The 17,500-nt window shown below is 39.1% G+C and overlaps 1 protein-coding gene across 11 annotated transcripts in view, besides 4 other annotated features; it reads left to right on the top strand.

Moving 5' to 3' along the window:
• Nucleotides 1-17,500, top strand: part of PTPN2 (protein tyrosine phosphatase non-receptor type 2) — a 98,760-nt gene that overhangs the window by 36,251 nt on the left and 45,009 nt on the right. For 9 of the 11 annotated variants that reach the window (XM_024451228.2, NM_080423.3, NM_080422.3 and 6 more), the window contains 2 exons: nt 11,096-11,196; nt 16,946-17,044. In XM_024451228.2, the coding sequence (XP_024306996.1) occupies nt 11,096-11,196; nt 16,946-17,044 (200 nt within the window). Of the gene's footprint in view, nt 1-7,024; nt 7,274-11,095; nt 11,197-16,945; nt 17,045-17,500 lie in introns of those variants that run through there. The other 2 variants (XM_047437697.1, NM_001308287.1) reach the window with 1 other exon arrangement.
• Nucleotides 4,376-4,884: an enhancer, noted in NCBI's record as "H3K27ac-H3K4me1 hESC enhancer chr18:12843102-12843610 (GRCh37/hg19 assembly coordinates)". NCBI's record gives its function as "activates a minimal SCP1, AML or CMV promoter by ChIP-STARR-seq in naive H9 embryonic stem cells {active_cell/tissue: H9 hESC(naive)}" and the evidence as "EXISTENCE:reporter gene assay evidence [ECO:0000049][PMID:30033119]".
• Nucleotides 7,956-8,005: an enhancer, noted in NCBI's record as "active region_13109". NCBI's record gives its function as "activates an Ori minimal core promoter by ATAC-STARR-seq in GM12878 lymphoblastoid cells {active_cell/tissue: GM12878}" and the evidence as "EXISTENCE:reporter gene assay evidence [ECO:0000049][PMID:35858748]".
• Nucleotides 8,046-8,095: an enhancer, noted in NCBI's record as "active region_13108". NCBI's record gives its function as "activates an Ori minimal core promoter by ATAC-STARR-seq in GM12878 lymphoblastoid cells {active_cell/tissue: GM12878}" and the evidence as "EXISTENCE:reporter gene assay evidence [ECO:0000049][PMID:35858748]".
• Nucleotides 8,216-8,275: an enhancer, noted in NCBI's record as "active region_13107". NCBI's record gives its function as "activates an Ori minimal core promoter by ATAC-STARR-seq in GM12878 lymphoblastoid cells {active_cell/tissue: GM12878}" and the evidence as "EXISTENCE:reporter gene assay evidence [ECO:0000049][PMID:35858748]".

Here is a 17,500-nt window from a genome sequence, read left to right as displayed (position 1 = left end):
CTTTTTTACTAAAAGATTTTCTCACTCACTGTTAGGGTCTTTAGTTCTATCTTCAATTTTTTTTTTTTTTTTTTAAATATTCAGTTTTGGCCTAGTGCAGTGGCTTATGCCTGTAATCCCAGCACTTTAGGAGGCAGAGGTGGGTGGATCACCTGAGGTCAACATGGTGAAACCCCGTCTCTACTAAAAATACAAAATTAGTTGGGCGTGGTGGCTGGCATCTGTAATCCCAGCTACTTGGGAGGCTGAGGCAGGAGAATTGTTTGAACCTGGGAGGTGGAGGTGACAGTGAGCCGAGATTGCGCCATTGCATTCCAGCCTGGGCAACAAGAGCGAAAAAAAACTCCCTCTCAAAAAAAAAAAAAAAAATCTTTAATTTTAATCAAAGCCAAATCAAAGCTATTTATGATGTTAATAATTTATTCCTGCGGGCTATTGATGCACTGGAGTGGTTCCAAGGAAGAAGAACTAGAACTCTTAGAGAAGAAGCTAGCATTGATTAGACAGGGAAAGAGAAAACCTAAACAGAGCAGCATGATAGCTGACTTTAGATACCTGAACTTTTACATGGAAAAAAGAGTTCTTTATCCTGTGTTAAGCCCAAAATATAGAACTAGGGTTCATGAGCGAATAATAGCACTGGTGAATATCAGGTTAGCATTAGCTCTTAAGAGCTGTTTTAAACCTACAAACGAACCCTCTGAACTAGTACACTTGTTATTGGAGGTATTCACGCAGAGGGTGGATCTTCTCACTGTCAGATCTTCTAGAGAATATTTGTGAATGAATTATAGAGGGTTGCATTAGATTACTTTGGTCTATTTCTTGTATGCTTCATTTCTTGCCCCTGTTCATCTCTTTCTCACCAATTTCCCGCATTCACCTTTCTGTCCTATTACATTGTGAATTCCTTAACAGATGAAACTTTTTTTTTTTTTGGACTGACAAAAATCTTGTACATAGTTTTGTCATAGGGTAGTAAAGAGAGTATTAAAGATATCATTAAGTTTCTCTTTCTCTGTCCCTGAATAATTAAATCTATAAAGCACTTGGGGTTGGGCCCACATGTGGAAGGCATGTGAGTAAAGGTGGTAATGTCCTTGAAAAAGAAGCCTGTAATATTGGGTTAGCATTGCTGTATCCAGGTATGAATGCATGGTTTTCAGTGAGTATAGATACACAGATAAATATGAACATAGGTATGTGTATATACCTATATTTCTTATCCCTGTCCACTGGGAAATCTTGAGAGCAGCGATAGCTGATGAGCCATTGGGCATGCTTAGCTTTTGATACCAAATTTTATTCTCCACTAGGAGGAGAATAGAGCTTTGGAGAAATGGCTGGTTCCACGTCTGCGACAGGGAAAGTGTAAGAATAGCCTGGAATGTCTTGTAGTGACAGAACATAAAGACATGCCCAAAAAATGATGAAGACATATCAGAAGGATGTAGAAGCCAAGCTGAGTCCACTGGCCAAACCTGGGATAATCTGAGCATGAAAATAAATAATGGTTACAACCTATTGAATAAAATAGGAATTAATGTGTCTATACTGATGTAAAGAAACAAATGAATACATAAATGAGGGATAGGGAAAGTTCTACCTTTGTATAGGTTGCCAACTAATAAATATTGAAATGGATACTAAAGTTGGTGGGTGAAAATTTGGTGAAGAACAAGGTATTTACATAATCTTGAAGTATCCCTTTACAAAATACTTATTAAATATAAGAAGAGGAATAGTACCTCTACACTGGAGAAGTCTGGCCAACACCAGCCTTAAATATGTGGTCATGACCAGTCATGAGATATACCATGTCAGAATCCTGAACCACCCGATAAGATGCAGTGAATACTTAGCATCTTTCTGAGATGAACATGCCAAAAATATACAAACTGAACTCATCTATAGGGAAATAGATATCTGACAACTCAAATGGAGGAACACTATAAAACAACTGACTTACAGTTTCAAAAGGTTAAAAAATACCGTGAAAGAACAGATTGTATCCTTTTGTTTAAAGGACATTATTGGGACAGTTGGTAGAACTTGAATGGTGTCTGGGTTAGTAAAGTATCACTGTTAATTTTATAATTTCGATGGCTATACTATGAGTAAGTAGGATTATGTCATTGTAGAAGATAAAAAAATGGAATAATCAGGTATGTTTGCAACTTGCTGTCATGACTTGGGAAGAAAATTCTTTGTGCTTGGAATTTTTCTGTAAGTTTTAAAATTATTTAAACATACAAATTAAAAATACATATAAACTTGAGGTACTGAATCCTAGCCAGTACATGAAGTCAAGAAAAGGAAATAAAAGGCATACAGGTTGGAAGGGAAGAAATAAAAATGACCTTATTAGCAGATGACATGTAGAAGATTGCAAAGAATCTACCCAACAATGTCCTAGAACTAATAAGTGAGTTAAACGAGGTTGTGGGATACAAGGTCAGCATACAGAAGCCAATTGTATTCCTGTATATTAACAACAAACACGTGGAAACCAAGATTAAAAACACATTGTTGTTTACAGTTGCTCTAAGAAAATGGAATATGTTGGAATAAATCTAACAAAATACATATAGGATCTGTATGTTGAAAGCACCAAACACATGGATAAAAGAAATCAAAAGATGACCTAAATAAATGAAAAAGGCCTACCATGTTCATGGATTGGAAGACTTAGCATAGTGAATCAGTCCTCCCCAAATTGTTCTATAGATCTATAGTGACTCATAGTGTCAAATTGTTCCTAAAGATCTAACACAATTTCTGTCAGAATTTCAGGAAGTTTTTTTGTAGATAAAAACAAGCTTATTCTTTTATGTGGAAAGGCAAAGGAACTAAAATAAAATGGCTAAAATGATCTTGGAAAATAAAAACTAGAAGAATCACTCTACCTAGTTTTAAAACTTAATGCATAACCACAGTAATCAAAACAGTGTGGTAGTGGCAGAGGGATAAATACATAAGTCAGTGGAACATAATCTAGAAATAGACTTGTAAAAATATGGTGAACTGATTTTTTGACAAAGGTGCAAAGCAATTTAAAATGAAATCTCACACCTTACACAAAAGTTAACTGAAGATAGATCATAGATGGATCATAATGTAAAAGCTTTCATAAGAAAATGGGAGAAAATTCAGGATGTAAGGCTAGATGAAGAGTTCTTAGCTATGACACCTAGAGCACAATTCATTTAAAATATCAATAATTTATACTAAATCGAAATAAAAAACTTCTGCTCCTCAAAACACCCTGTTAAGAGGACAAAAAGATGAGTACAGACTTGGAGAAAATGTAAACCACATATCTGACAAAGAACTTAGATCTGGACTATATATAGAACTCTCAAAATGTAACAGTAAAAAGAAACAAAAACCCCAGTTAGGAAATGGGCAAAAGATATGACACAGATGGCAGATAAGCCTATGAACATATAAAAAACTTCATTAGCCATTAGGAAAATGCAAATTAAAATCATGGTGGTGGGATGTCACTAGACGCCTACTAAAACAGCTAAAGTAAAGAGATCACAATACCCTAAAAATGCAGAGAAGCTGGATCTCATATATGGGTGGTGGGAATGTAAACTGGTATAGCCACTCTGGAAAATAGTTTGGCAGTTTCTTAAAAAGCTGAACGTATACTTAGCTTATATGACCCAGCACTTGCACTCCTGGGCATTTATCCCAGAGAAATGCAGTCATAATGTCCACACAAAAGTGTGTGCATGAATATTCACAGCAGCTTTATCTGTAGTAGCCCCAGATTCGAAACAACCCACATGTCCTTCAGTGGGTAAGTGGTTAACTATGGTATATTCATAACACAGAATACTACTCAGCAATAAAAAGGAAGAAACTTGACGTAACAACATGGGTAGCTCTCAGAGGACTTACGCTGGGTGAAAACAATCCAGTTTCCAATGATGACATAGTACATGATTCCATTTATATAACATTCTTGAAATGATGAGAATTCTCGAGAGGGAGAGCAGATCGGTGGTTAGGGGTGGAATGGGGAAGAGTGTGCCTGCCAAGGGGCACACAGAACCTTTGTGCTGATGGAATAGGTATGTGTTGTTTTGGTCATGTGAATTTGTTTGTGGTAAAATGGCATAGAACTGAGCACACACAAATGAGTGCCTGTAGAACTGGAGAAATCAAAATAAGGTCTGTGGATTGTAGCAGTGTCTTTTCATGCTTCTGAGTTTGATGGCCTTCTGGAACTAGGCCCTGGACAGCGCATTGCTAGGAGTGGGGCTCTGTGGTGAGTCTGACAGCGTCCCTGGCTGCAAAGAGCTTAACTGTGGCAAGAAGGCTGCTACTGGGTGCCTGGGTGCTCCTGCTGCCCTCCACCAGCGGAGCTGATCAGAATCTTGCCCTAAGAGGCCCCTCTTAAAAGCCACAGCACCTTGGGTGGGCTGGTCTGCCCTAGAGCACTTACGCTGGGTGGAGGGAGCTGTGGAAGCGTGCAGTGGGGGAGTGCTGGAGTCCAGGACAGTCAGCTGTACTCGGGATTGGGGTGAGGGTGTGGTTGTTTCTAGATTAAAATACAGATACATGATCAAGTAGAATTCTGAAATTCCTTTAAATGTTTAAGGTAAAATAGGAATTACCAAGGAATTTTGTACTTTAATACCCTCTTAGGGTATTAAGGAGGGTTTGTCAGTGAAAATAATCAAGAAGGACTGGTCCATTCGAGCCACTGATTTTGACAGACAAGAAAACAGACCCCTGAGTGCCCCTTATCATAGGACTGTCGGCGACTGGGATGCTGATAGTGTTTCTCAAGTAGTAGTCACCCTTTTCTGGGAAATCATGACTACGTCTGGAATCATGTAGGTTGGTAGAGCCAAAAGAGAGATCAGAATCCACATCTTTAGATCCCTCAAACTCCCCTCACCCATGTTTTTCATCTGCGTCGCAAAATTCCAGGTACCTGTACTAAGAAGTCCTGAAGGTTTCTGCGCTTTTCCTTTCTGCCGAATTAGTTTACGCTTAAGAAAGTCAGTTAACGTCATTTCATTTCCTGCTTATGGTTCAGAATGGGTTGATAGTGATTTGTCATTCTAACAAAATTCTAGCAGGTGTAGGAATTTGAATATGTGAAAATCTTCTGGAATTCATCATATAAACAATGTTTGAATACTTGCTGACTTAAATTGTTATGACACTCTACTAGGTAGGCCCGCTGAGAAAATGGAAGTAGCAGTCCTTTTTCCCTGACAGTCAAATTTAGGAGAAATGAATCAGTACAGGATTTCTTGACTCTCCGAACCTAAACTGCAGACTGCTCCTCTCCGCTTTGTCCCCGTGGCTCCAGCCACATTCTTCATGTCCCTCAGACATGTTAGGTATGTACCACCTTAAGTCATTCGCCGTTCTCTGTGCTTGGAACACTGTTAACTAAAATATCCGTGAGACTGACCCCTTCCACATCTGTGCTTACATGTGACCCACCTGGGTGGTCAGCCACAAGGCCCATCCTGACCACCCTGTTTAGAATTGCAACCTGCCCCTCTCCCCAGCGCTGTGAGTCCCGTTACTCTTTTTTCTTAGCATTTATTACTCATATACTTTACTTAGTTATGCTTATTGCTATATCACCAATATAGATATTTGGTCCGCATTGTTTGCATGGTGTCTCATGGGCCTTTGGATGTGATGAAAGTTAAATCTTTTCCCCTAAGTCCCTCCACCTTCAATTTGTTTAGGCTCTAACTCTCCTAGAAGCGGAGAGTCTGAGTTTCAAAGAAAATGGTGCAATACTGCTGAGCGCCGTGGCTCACTCCTGTAATCCCAACACTTTGGGAGGCCGAGGCAGGTGGATCACCTGAGGTCGAGAGTTCAAGACCAGCCTGACCAACATGGAGAAACCCCGTCTCTGCTAAAAATACAAAATTAGCTGGGCGTGGTGGCACATGCCTGTAATCCCAGCTACTCAGGAGGCTGAGGCAGGAGAATTGCTTGAACCCAGGAGGTGGAGGTTGTGGTGAACTGAGATCGCACCATTGCACTCCAGCCTGGGCAACAAGAGCGAAACTCCATCTCAAAAAAAAAAAAAAATGGTGAGATACTTACTGATTATTTTAAAGTGAAGATTAGTATGTCTTATTTTATACAAGCTACCAAAGAGGAAAAATGTCTGTTTTCCAAACTAATGAATTTTACCTATTTTGTAAAGACATTTCTCAGGTATTCTTTTCATTGCAGACTCTTGGGGACAGATTAAAGAGGACTTTTTCAATTAGGAGATTTGTGGAATCAGAATTTAATTAGTGACATTGTCCTGTCAAGTTTAGGATCTTGAAATCATGATGGGTTGAAAGACGCTGATGATTTCAAGGACAGTAAACTATTGTTTGGAAAAGGTTGAACTTACCAAATGTTTCCTAAACAATGTATACTTTATTAGCAAAGCTGTGATGGTGCTACCTTGGAAATACTCTTTACATTCCCACCGCCACTACTTGATTCAGGCCTCATCACCTTTTGATTACGCTTTCAGTGTATTGGTGTATGAAGTTGCCTTCTTCTTGGTTCAGTCCATCTTCTATGCTGCTGAGAGTTATTTTCATGAAAATCAAATGTGTTTATACCAGTCCTTTAAAGAACTTCACTGGGGCCCTGTCCAGAGCCTGTGCCTGTAGCACGGCCCACGTGCCCTTCAGGGTCCGCCCTTAATGTGTCTGGGGAGCCCTCTCTAGCCAGCTCGCCAGCCTTTCTGAATCTGCCAGTCCTGCCGCTACACCATTCCCTTTCATTCCTCTTTATGATGTGCCCTCTGCTGGAATTTCCCCTTCCTGCTGATCTCACTAGGCCTATTCAGGTAGCAACTACTCAAGCTCCTTCCCACAATATTTTATGCAATAAAGTATCAGTACTCAGAGTCACGGCTTAATATAATTTCTTTTTTCCTTTTTAAAAGCTTCAAACAAATAATGTCTTACCTTTAGATCCCTATAGGTTAAAATATGTTTGTTGACTAAAAATTGTGTATGATTGCTGAAAGTATTCAATGCAGGGAACAGACCAGTTCATCATGGAGGCATTCCATCAGAGCGTCTAGTTAGAGAAGATATGTCATGGACTGCATCGGCACAGAAGTGGGGTTTATGTGAGAGAGGAGTTGGAAGTCACACCTGAGTGGAGAGCAACGTGAAAAGGTGATGTCAGCAAGAATTTAGGATGTATGGAAAGGATGGTAAAGGCACCAACTGGATGGATCAGGGAGACATGGAATGCAGAATGCAGGAAATAGGTAATCTCTTAAATTGCACAAATCTAGGTTTCATTTTTGTGCTCTAGTGTGTTACACTTGTGATGACTTGACTTCCCTGAGTGACAGTGCGATGGGTGTGATCCATATTCATATGCACTTCATAGGGCTGTGAGGACTGAGAGAGGTGACCCAGTGACGAGTGTCACACAAACCTGACATGTCGTAGGCACCAAATGGTTCTAGACAGTGGTTCTGGTTGGTTTTGTGGTCAATTGGAAACCTTTCATCAAGTAGAATTTTCTTTGCAGAGCAAACAATTGAAATGTTAATATTCTATGTGTACTAAAGTTTGTATTCTCCATTAATATGGGGGAGTATATGGTGACCTGGTGTTTAGTGCCAGCTTTGTTTTTGGTTCATTGCTCGATTTATGAGAGAGAATGCATAATATTTGTTGTTCGACTATTTTACTTGCAGGATTGAAGAGAGTTGACAAATCTAGAAAATGCTTTGAGTTCTTGGACATCACTGTTTGAAAACGTACTGATTACCCTTAGTTGAGAATGGGAAAATCTAAAGGGGAAAAGTCACTGGTTCACGCTGTACTATTAGAATTGGTCATCTTCTTGCCTGACTTGTAAGTTAAGGATGCTTGATCTTTGCTGTGATTTAACCTGTTCAGGATGAATTGTAACCAGTTACAATGAATACAAATTCTCCTTTCTGTTTGACCTGGAAAACTTTCCAAAAGGAGATGTCTTTACAATAATGATATATTTGGTGAAAGCTGTGGGTTGTTTTTTTTTTTTTAAAGCTTATGATGACAGTATTGAAAGAGGAAACTAATCTGTATTGTCAGCACAGCCACAGCTAGCACTAGTCATTTCTTGAGAGGTGGAGCTGTTTCTCAGAAAACATGCTGTTTGAGGGTAGGAGGTGAAGGGACTCCTTGTCAGAAATTGGCTTAATTTTAATCCAAGTTATAAACCACAGTTCTGTTTGGGTATTGCATTTCTTCATTTACTCAGTGACAAGAATTAAGGCAGATGATGCCTGTAGAAAAAAAAGTGTATGTTCTTGATAGTTCTGCTACTAGTGCTAGTAGAGGTTGAGAAATAAGATTTCCTGTGAAGTGTGGTTTGGTTGCTTTTGTGGTATCCCATGCAAAAGAGTTTGAACTATCTTCATTTTTCTCCCTTTACTGGATCCTTTAAAAGAGGAAAGGGTGAGATAACCAGACTTACAAGGATGGTAAAGTATAGTGGGCTTTGGGGCTTACTTATACAGCCCAAAGGTTATGGGATGCTGCTGTTATGATAATCTCATGTCAGAGGTTCCTATGGAAGAGGAGAAAGGATGTACCTTTCTGTGTGTTCTCATTCAGAAGTCAAAAGTTTGTTTTTTAATGATTAGTTTACAGATTTGGGGCTGACTGATAGTATCTGGGCAGGGAAAAGAGACCTGTGACTCAGGTTGTTAAGGGAACCTGTGTATATGCTCTCACAAACTCGAAACCGTGTGTTGTGATCCTTAATTGGAGAAGAGGTAGTGCCCTTCTTTGTTATCATCACTAAAGAGTATAAATTATAAAGTCACAGTTTCTCATAAAGAGGCTTTGATAGTTTCACTTCCTGAAATGTGTATATTCACAATCTTTTGCAATAGTTATTTTAAGGTGATGTGTTTTATTTTTTTCTCTACTGCCTCTTCGAAATCAAAAAGTTATATATACTTTTTATTTTATATTAATCTTTTTCAATTTTTGTTTTTATAATTTTAATGTATTTTAAATTTATTTTAAAGTTTTATTTCTCCTTTTTGCTTTAATATTTCTTCCTTTTTAAATTGTTTTTCATTTTTCCTTTGTATGTGTTTTTCTTAAAAGAACAGAAGAATTAAAATAATATCTAGTGATGTAGGTATTTCAGTTTTGTTTTTAATCAGCCTTGAGAAGAAAATACAGGCTCAAATAACATTTGTAGTCAGTTCTAAATAGCTATAGAGTTTTCCCAAGGATTACCTTTCTTTTTTAGTATTATCTGATAACAAAATAAAAAAAAATTTTCCTGAGAAAATTCACCGTTCCTTTGCTTTTGTTGACTCTGTATATTAATGTTAAACAGGAAGCGAGGCCACTGCCAGGGGCTGAGCCCTGCAGACCCAGTGCCCTGCAGGTAGTGCCCTCCTCCCTACTGCCTCCCAGGACTGGATCTGGGCTTTTCTGGTGTGTGGTTACTGTGCTTATAGAGCATTGAGGTAACACCTCGTGCATATTTTACAGATAGAAGGAAAATAGCAGTGAATTTTAGTTCAGAGTCCTGAGGGTGAGGTATCAAATACTCTGGCTGAAGGTCTTTCTCTAGGTTTACTTCCTGCATAGCTGGGCAAGGGTGTGGGGTGGTGCCATGTGGGGTAACCAGATTCCCAGCACCCTGTGAGGTGGACCTTCCCGGGTTTTATGGATTCCTACCGCATGTTAGCTAAATGGCTGTTTTCAGTTGTGCAATAGATATGAGTAGCCTTTGGTTAGTGTTCTTTCTGTGATTACAACATGAGGAAATACATTCCTTTGGTGTGATATTTTAGTGGAACTTTAATTTTAAAATCATGTAGTTTTCTAAAACCAGGCTTTCTTTTTTTGGTATGTTGTCTAGGAGATATGTGGTCTTTATTTTAATTAAGTTGCTGACCTTTTTACTATTTTACATAATATAACAGTTAAAGGGTGATTAAACTGTTTTTTAAAAAAGTGATTTTTAAAAAAAAGTGCTTGTTGACATCATCTTTCTGAGAACACTAGTATATGTGATTTACTATAACAAGATCTTAGTTTTTCCTGTTGGCAAATGACATGTAATATTTACAGAGGTCTTGGGTTCAGTCCAGCAGAAACATCTCAGATAAATTGATGTGTGAAACTAAAGCCATTTTACATTTTCTTTCATATGGAGATAATATAAACAGTTTTTTCATTTAAAAGTAAGGAGAGACTGGCTATTTAGTATGGATTTCTTTGAGAGGGACAACTTGTAATAGTATGCATTCTCTAGAGTTAAACATCAAACACCATGTTTTTAGTTTTATAATTCAGTGATATGCATCCGGCAGTTGTGTGTTGAGGATTCTGAGTTAATTCATGGGCTTTTTCTCCTGGTGTCATGCTTCTCTTGCTTTCCCATCTAAATGTATAAGGTCACATTTTGTATTTCACATATTTAAATTAGCATAAATTCTCAATCTATGAGATTTTTACTTTTAAAAACTAGAAATATCTCTAAACTGTTAACAGAGTCTAAGTAGTGAAGTATCTTCAGTGGTCTTTTAAAGAATACAGTTGGAATATTCCAACTGTCTTTAAATATTTTCAGCATTTAACCTAAACACAGTTCAGTGCTAAAATTTATTTAAATATAGTGGAATTCTTATCTGTTGAGAAATGAAGAGGTTGAAATATAGTAACCTCGGAAATCTAGTCTCATCTATTTGAGACCAGTTATCGTTTTGTAGGTAGACCAATCAATTCTTAGGTACCAAGAATCTGAATGATCCTTTTACTTTTAGGAAGGTAAGTACTTTATTCATTTAACTATGTTTACTCCTGGTCGATTTTTCAAGTCACAATGGCTAATGTGCTACAAACAGAAGTGCTTCCTTTCCAGCACTATAGTAATAAACAAGATTGCATTTTATACTCCTTACAAAAAAAGTAGAGAATAGTTTAGGATTTGTCTCAACTCTATTATGATGCTAATTCATTTTTCTTATTTCTTCTGTCTTTTTATAAATACCTAGAATATTAATATGAAGATAAAAACAGTAATTTTGAAATGACAGTTGTGGTTTATCATTCTCTATTTTCAGATGATCACAGTCGTGTTAAACTGCAAAATGCTGAGAATGATTATATTAATGCCAGTTTAGTTGACATAGAAGAGGCACAAAGGAGTTACATCTTAACACAGGCAAGTAATACGATACCACGCAAATGTCTGAAAATGATGTGTTTGTGCTTGTTCTGCTTTAAATCATAGGTAAAAGTATATCTTGACTTCTTTTGGAAATGAAATGGTATTTCAGTTTTTTTCTGACGATGTAATGAATTATGGACATTATAAGGTTTTGAAGCTTTGAGTATTTAAGATAAAAGGCAAGTTATTTTTGATATTACACGTTCTGTGAAGGAAAATTCTTAGGAAATGGCTTAGGCCAGTTCTTTGGCAGATTGTGTTCCTTACATTATATCTGACACAGAGTGCTGCTTATGCTTCTTAGTGTCTTCTTTTCTCTTCCCATACCCTGTGGCAAAACCAGAGGCCCTGGACAGCTCTTCTGTAGCTCCCCCTGCCTCGCATATATCTTCAGAGAGTACACCAAGCCCTGGATGGTGTCTGGTCGTCTTCAAGGACCTGAGCGGGTGCTGAGACCAGGTGCTCCAGAGGCCCAGCCACAAGGCCTTGTGCTCCCTGTGGCCTTCTGCCCAGTTGCCTCTGAGCGCATCAGCCACACCTGTGTGCAAGCATGATTCTTCCTTCCATTCTGAGATAGTAGGAGAGATTTTTGTGTATCCACAGCTACTCTTTATTCATCAAGTAATAAAGACTTGATTATCAACAGGGCTGTCTTTCCCCCTAAAGATTTTTAAATATTCAAAAGATATACCATAATATTTGAGATTTTTGAAAACATAACTTAAATCAGAATGACTTATTTGAAAGAGAAAAATATTTGATAAGTAAAAAGATATGCAGATTAATGTAACTATGAGCTATTATACTACGTCAATTCACAGGAAACTAAAATGCATTTTTTACTTGAGGTAGTACAGCTCCTGCAAGTCAAAAAGAAAAAAAACAGCCCATGGAAAAAACTGGCAAAGGACATAAACTCCTAGTTCAAAGAATCAAAGGTGGACACTTTGCACATGAAGAAATGCTCCATTCAGTAACCAGGGAATGGGCCTTTCACCTGTCAGAAAAGGAGAGATTTCAAAGTGTATAATACTCAGTGTTCAAATACTCTGACCGACCAAGAAAGTCTACTTAGAGAAATACAGTCAGACATAAAGATATATGTGATCGGCCAGGCGCGGAGGCTCACACCTGTAATCCCAGCACTTTGGGAGGCTGAGGCAGATGGATCACCTGAGATCAGGAGTTTGAGACCAGCCTGGCCAACACGGTGAAACCCCATCTCTACTAAAAATACAAAAATTAGCTGGGCATGGTGGCGGGTACCTATAATCCCAGCTACCCAGGAGTCTGAGGCAGGAGAATCGCTTGAACCCGGGAGGTGGAGGTGGCAGTGAGGCAAGATAGTGCCACTGCACTCCAGCCTGAGCGAAAGAGCAAAACTGTCCAAAAAAAAAAAAAAGACATATGTGATCATGTTCATTGCAGTCTTATTTTAACGCATCAGACTCAAGCAATCTGTAAGGGACTGGTTAAATAAGTTAATCATACATATACCATTAGTAATAATTTGTGGAGCTTGGGAATAGAGACTTTAATTTTCCATTTTATTCCTTTCTGTAATATTGGAAGTTTTTTTTATGTGCATTTGTATTTTAAACTACTATTTAGAGTTAAAAATTTTATTTTCTGTTTGAAATACCTATAGTTGACCCTTGAACCATCCAGGGTTGAACTGTACTAGTCCACTTACAGGCAAATTTTTTTCAACCAAAAACGGGTCGGAAATACGGTATTCATGGGATGTGAAATCCATGCATACAGAGGGCTGACTCTTTGTATCTGCAGGTTCTACAGGGCCACCAGTGGGGCTTGGACATGTGTGGATTTTGGTATACTGCAGTGGGTGGGGGGCAGGTTGGGTCCTGGAGCCAGTCCCTTGTGTATATTGAGGGACAACTAATTACATTAAAAAATAGAGAAGAATTACCACCCTAGATCCCTTATCACAACCCTTTCTCCCTCTGTACTGTTCTTCTCCATTATCACTTACTGGTTTTTTGTTCTCTTCTTAGTTCTTAAAAACATAGGTCTTAAGATTCTAAATTAGCTTTTTTTTTTCTCCTCCAGTCTGCACTACAGCCCTTTAAGACCATGGTTTTCAACCTTTGTAACCTAAGATAGGGTAGACTACTGTCATGGTACCTGTGCTGGAATCTTGGTGCCAGCATTTCACTGGGTATTCACTCACCCAGCAAAGACTTACTGAGACCTACTCTGTGGCAGGCATTGTTTAAATAAAACAGACTTTCATAAAAACCCTATTATGAATTTTATGAATTTTACATTATAATAGGAAATAATAACAGTTAAAAATTTTGTAATGGTGTTTTTACATGCTTTGTATAATTTAAACCTTAGGACAACCCTCTGTGGTAAATAGTATTACCTTTATTTTATACACGAGGAATCTAAGGAGATCCAGAGACATTAAATAACTTTCTTTTTTTTTTTTTTTGAGATGGAGTCTCACTCTGTTGCCCAGCCTGGAGTGCAGTGATGCAATCTCAGCTCACTACAACCTCCTCCTCCCGGGTTCAAGTGATTCTCGTGCTTCAGCCTCCCAAGTAGCTGGGATTACAGGTGCTCACCACCACTCCCAGCTAATTTCTGTATTTTTAGTAGAGACAAGGTTTCACCATGTTGCTCAGGCTGGTCTCAAACTCCTGGCCTCAGATGATCCACCTGTCTTGGCCTCCCAAAGTGCTGGGATTACAGGGGTGAGCCACCGTGCCCAGCCTCCTAGTAATTGTTTTTGAACTTCTTGTCGCTGTGTGTGTCCTGAAGGAGCCCTGCCCATTTAATGCGAGAACTCAGAAGCCTGTGTCTGGCTTTTTCTTCTCTCCTGAATTCCTCTCTATGTTTTTCAGGTCTCTATTGGATATTTTTACTGGATTTCAAAGTCTGCATGTTCTCTGTCTTTTTTACCAAGGTAGCTGCCTTCCTATTTTTCTCATTGGGATTGAGACTGTCCTCATTGTCTGCCAAGTTCTTTCTGATCTTCTATTGCCCCTCGCTTTTTTCAGAGCTCTCTTCAATTACACCTGTCCTGTTGCAGCAGCTTTTTAAGGTCTCCCCTTGGCACCATCCCTGTCACTCTAGTGGTGTAGTCACCAACTACATCCCTCCACTTCTACCTCACTGATCTATTTGTCTTTTCCCAAATATGCCCTAAACTTTCATGCACTTTGCCTTATGCTTGGAGGGCCTGGAGTGGACCCTAACTCCCTCCCATTCTTCTGCATTCCCTCTCTGTATTAGGACCTTTTTCGAGGCTCTTCTGTAGTTTCCTTCCCAGCCTTTCCTGCTCCCTAAGACCTGATGGTTTAATTTGCCCATACTCTTGTACTACTTAACTGTGTCCATTAGTCATACAAGTACTTCTCCTTCTACCTTTGCAAGCTCTTAAAGAGCCAAGACTGCATCTCAGTCTAGCTCTTGGCCTTGCATCTAGCAGGTTGTTTGGAATGGAGGATACAGAAAACTAGAGATGCAGTAACCCAGCTCTTCTGATTGTCCTTTGTAGATTGTTACTTCAGTCATCTTTTTCTTCTGAGTTTTATGAATTAGTATTTTTTTAAAAGTCACCTCCTTGGTGTATTATGTCTGTTTTGCAGATGAAGAACATTGGTAGCATTGCTGGTAAATGGAAGAGCTGAGATGTGAATCTCTGTTCCTCTGATTTAAAAACCTATGGCTGGGCGTAGTGGCTCAACGCCTGTAATCCCAGCACTTGGGGAGGCTGAGGCAGGCAGATCACCTGAGGTCAGGAGTTTGAGACCAGCCTGGCCAACATGGTAAAACCCCGTCTCTACTAAAAATACAAAAATCAGCCTGGCATGGTGGTGCACGCCTGTAATCCCAACTACTCAGGAGGCTGAGGGAGGGAGAATTGCTTGAATCCAGGAGGCAGAGGTTGCAGTGAGCCGAGGTCGTGCCATTGCACTCCAGCCTGGGCAACAGAGCAAGACTCCAGCTGTGTTCCTGTTTATTATTTAGTCTTTAGAATCACCAGTGGAATGGCATGGGTTGTGATTGTGTGTATACACTAAGGAGTAACCTCACTGGCAAATTGCTACATCCATTTTTTTTTTCCTAATTAAAGAAAAAGGTATTCATTTTACTGGGGATTTCCTCATTGCTGTTTTTACCTTTAGACTGTGTTTTGTTTTAGAAGTAGATCAAGTAATAGAAAAATAAGTTGAGTGAGGAAAACGCCACTCTCAAATATTAGGTTGTAGTTTGTCAGGATCCTCAGTAGACTTCTAGCATTTTTACAACTTAACCTTGGTTTATTCATTTAAGTAATATTTATTGAGTATCTGCTACATACCAAGGAGTACACCAGGCCTAAAGATGCTTTTAGTCAGCTGGGCACCATGGCTGATACCTGTAATCCCAGCACTTTGGGAGGCTGAGGCAGGTGGATCACTTGAGGTCAGGAGTTCGAGACCAACCTGGCCAACATGGTGAAACCCTGTCTCTACTAAAAATCCAAAATTTAGCCAGGTGTGGTGGCGGGTGCCTATAATTCCAGCTCCGTGGGAGGCTTAGGCAGGAGAATCTCTTGAACCTGGGAAGTGGAGGTTGCAGTGAGCTGAGATCGTGACACTGCACTCTAGCCCGGGTGACAGAGACACCATCTCAAAAAATAAAAAATGCTTTTAGTCTAGAACCACTTTAACCCCCTTGTTGTATGTGGGTCTGAAGCTCTGGGCAGCCCTAGCCCCCACTCCTGACTCTGCCCCTAACTCATACCACTCTGCTACATTCCATGTGAGTTGAATGCATGTTCATAGTTATTTTAGGTGTAGCAAAACTACATCTCATTTTAACCTTCTCATTTAAAACTCGTTAAAATTTGTACATAGGCTTTTCATCTCTTATTAGATCTTCCTTTTGCCCTATGCTATCATTAAAATGTGAAAGCAATTGGAAATACATGAAATATTTTGCTTTTATCCCCATGGCATTGTTGTAACATGGACTGTTGCCCCTTTTTAACTCTGCCCAATACTCTTCCATTGAGGCCGTACATACTGTGCATTTGTAGATTAACAGTTTCATTGTGGTTCAGGTACTTTAATGATTCCTACTTTTTCTAGAAATCTTTTTGTAGTTGACTTGAGTTGGTTGGCTGGCCAGTGATGGTACAGACTTTTTTCTCATGGATTTTCTATGATGTGTGGGAGGCACATCCTCTTGGCTGTAGAAGATGAAGAGGACAGAAATTTCCTTGGTCTACCTTCTTTGCAGCTAGAACATGATCAGTCAGATACTCCTACTCGTGATTTTGTCTCTGATTTGCCTATAGATTGTACATGAATACTATAGCCACCTTCATATGGCAGTGCCAGCAAAAGCAAGGAGATAGTAGTGACGGTATCAAGAGCAGCATCCCAGGTTGACTTTCTTTGGGGCAGGACCTTGCTTGTGTCTTAACCCTTGGTTCCTACCCAAGTTTGTCTCTCTAGTCCTCAACTCTGAAAGCCACTTGATATCTTACACAATTCCTTTTTTGCCTGAGAAAATAAAAGTCAGTTTTGATCATTTACAACCAAAAATCCTAACTAACACAGACCTGTTTTTGAAATCAGGTAGATTGGAAGTCTTGGTTTACTTCTTATAAGCCCGTCCGCTGTCTGTCTTGTAACATCCCAGGAGCAGACTTAACAAGGCCTTCCTGGAGCCTTGCTCTTTCTGTCTGCTTCCCTCATCTGCTCTCTCTCCTCTCTCTTCACAGGGTCCACTTCCTAACACATGCTGCCATTTCTGGCTTATGGTTTGGCAGCAGAAGACCAAAGCAGTTGTCATGCTGAACCGCATTGTGGAGAAAGAATCGGTGAGTAATATTTAATATTTACAACTTAGTATACTGTATGTGATCATTAGCATATAAAGATTTTCATTTTGGGGCCAATATTCATTCCTTAGTTTTGGCCTTTAATTGCTAAAGGCTAGCGGTCAAAGTGTTTCTGTCCGGAAAAACTCATGTATCCTTTTCCTTTCTTAAGTATTTTTATAACAATTGCAGACCTTTCATCTCCAAGATAGAAATACAATGGAATAAATATGGACTAGCAGTGACATATAGATCTTTGGAATCCCTAGGAATCCTTATTGACCTATTGTCAATAAGTCCTCTTCCAGCTTTAAGATCTTGTACTGTTCTACTTCAGATTTCTTACTTTATTCTACATTTCATAATTGCTGGTTTTTAATGATGATGAAAATTTCCTAATCCACTTCTAATTAGATGTGGCAATGACATGCCAGAATTTCCAGCAGTATCAGCATA

The sequence above is a fragment of the Homo sapiens genome, chromosome 18, assembly GCF_000001405.40.
Source record: "Homo sapiens chromosome 18, GRCh38.p14 Primary Assembly".
Taxonomy (NCBI): Eukaryota; Metazoa; Chordata; class Mammalia; order Primates; family Hominidae; genus Homo; species Homo sapiens.
Note: the sequence above shows the minus strand (reverse complement) of the source record. Positions and strands in the feature narration are given on the sequence as shown.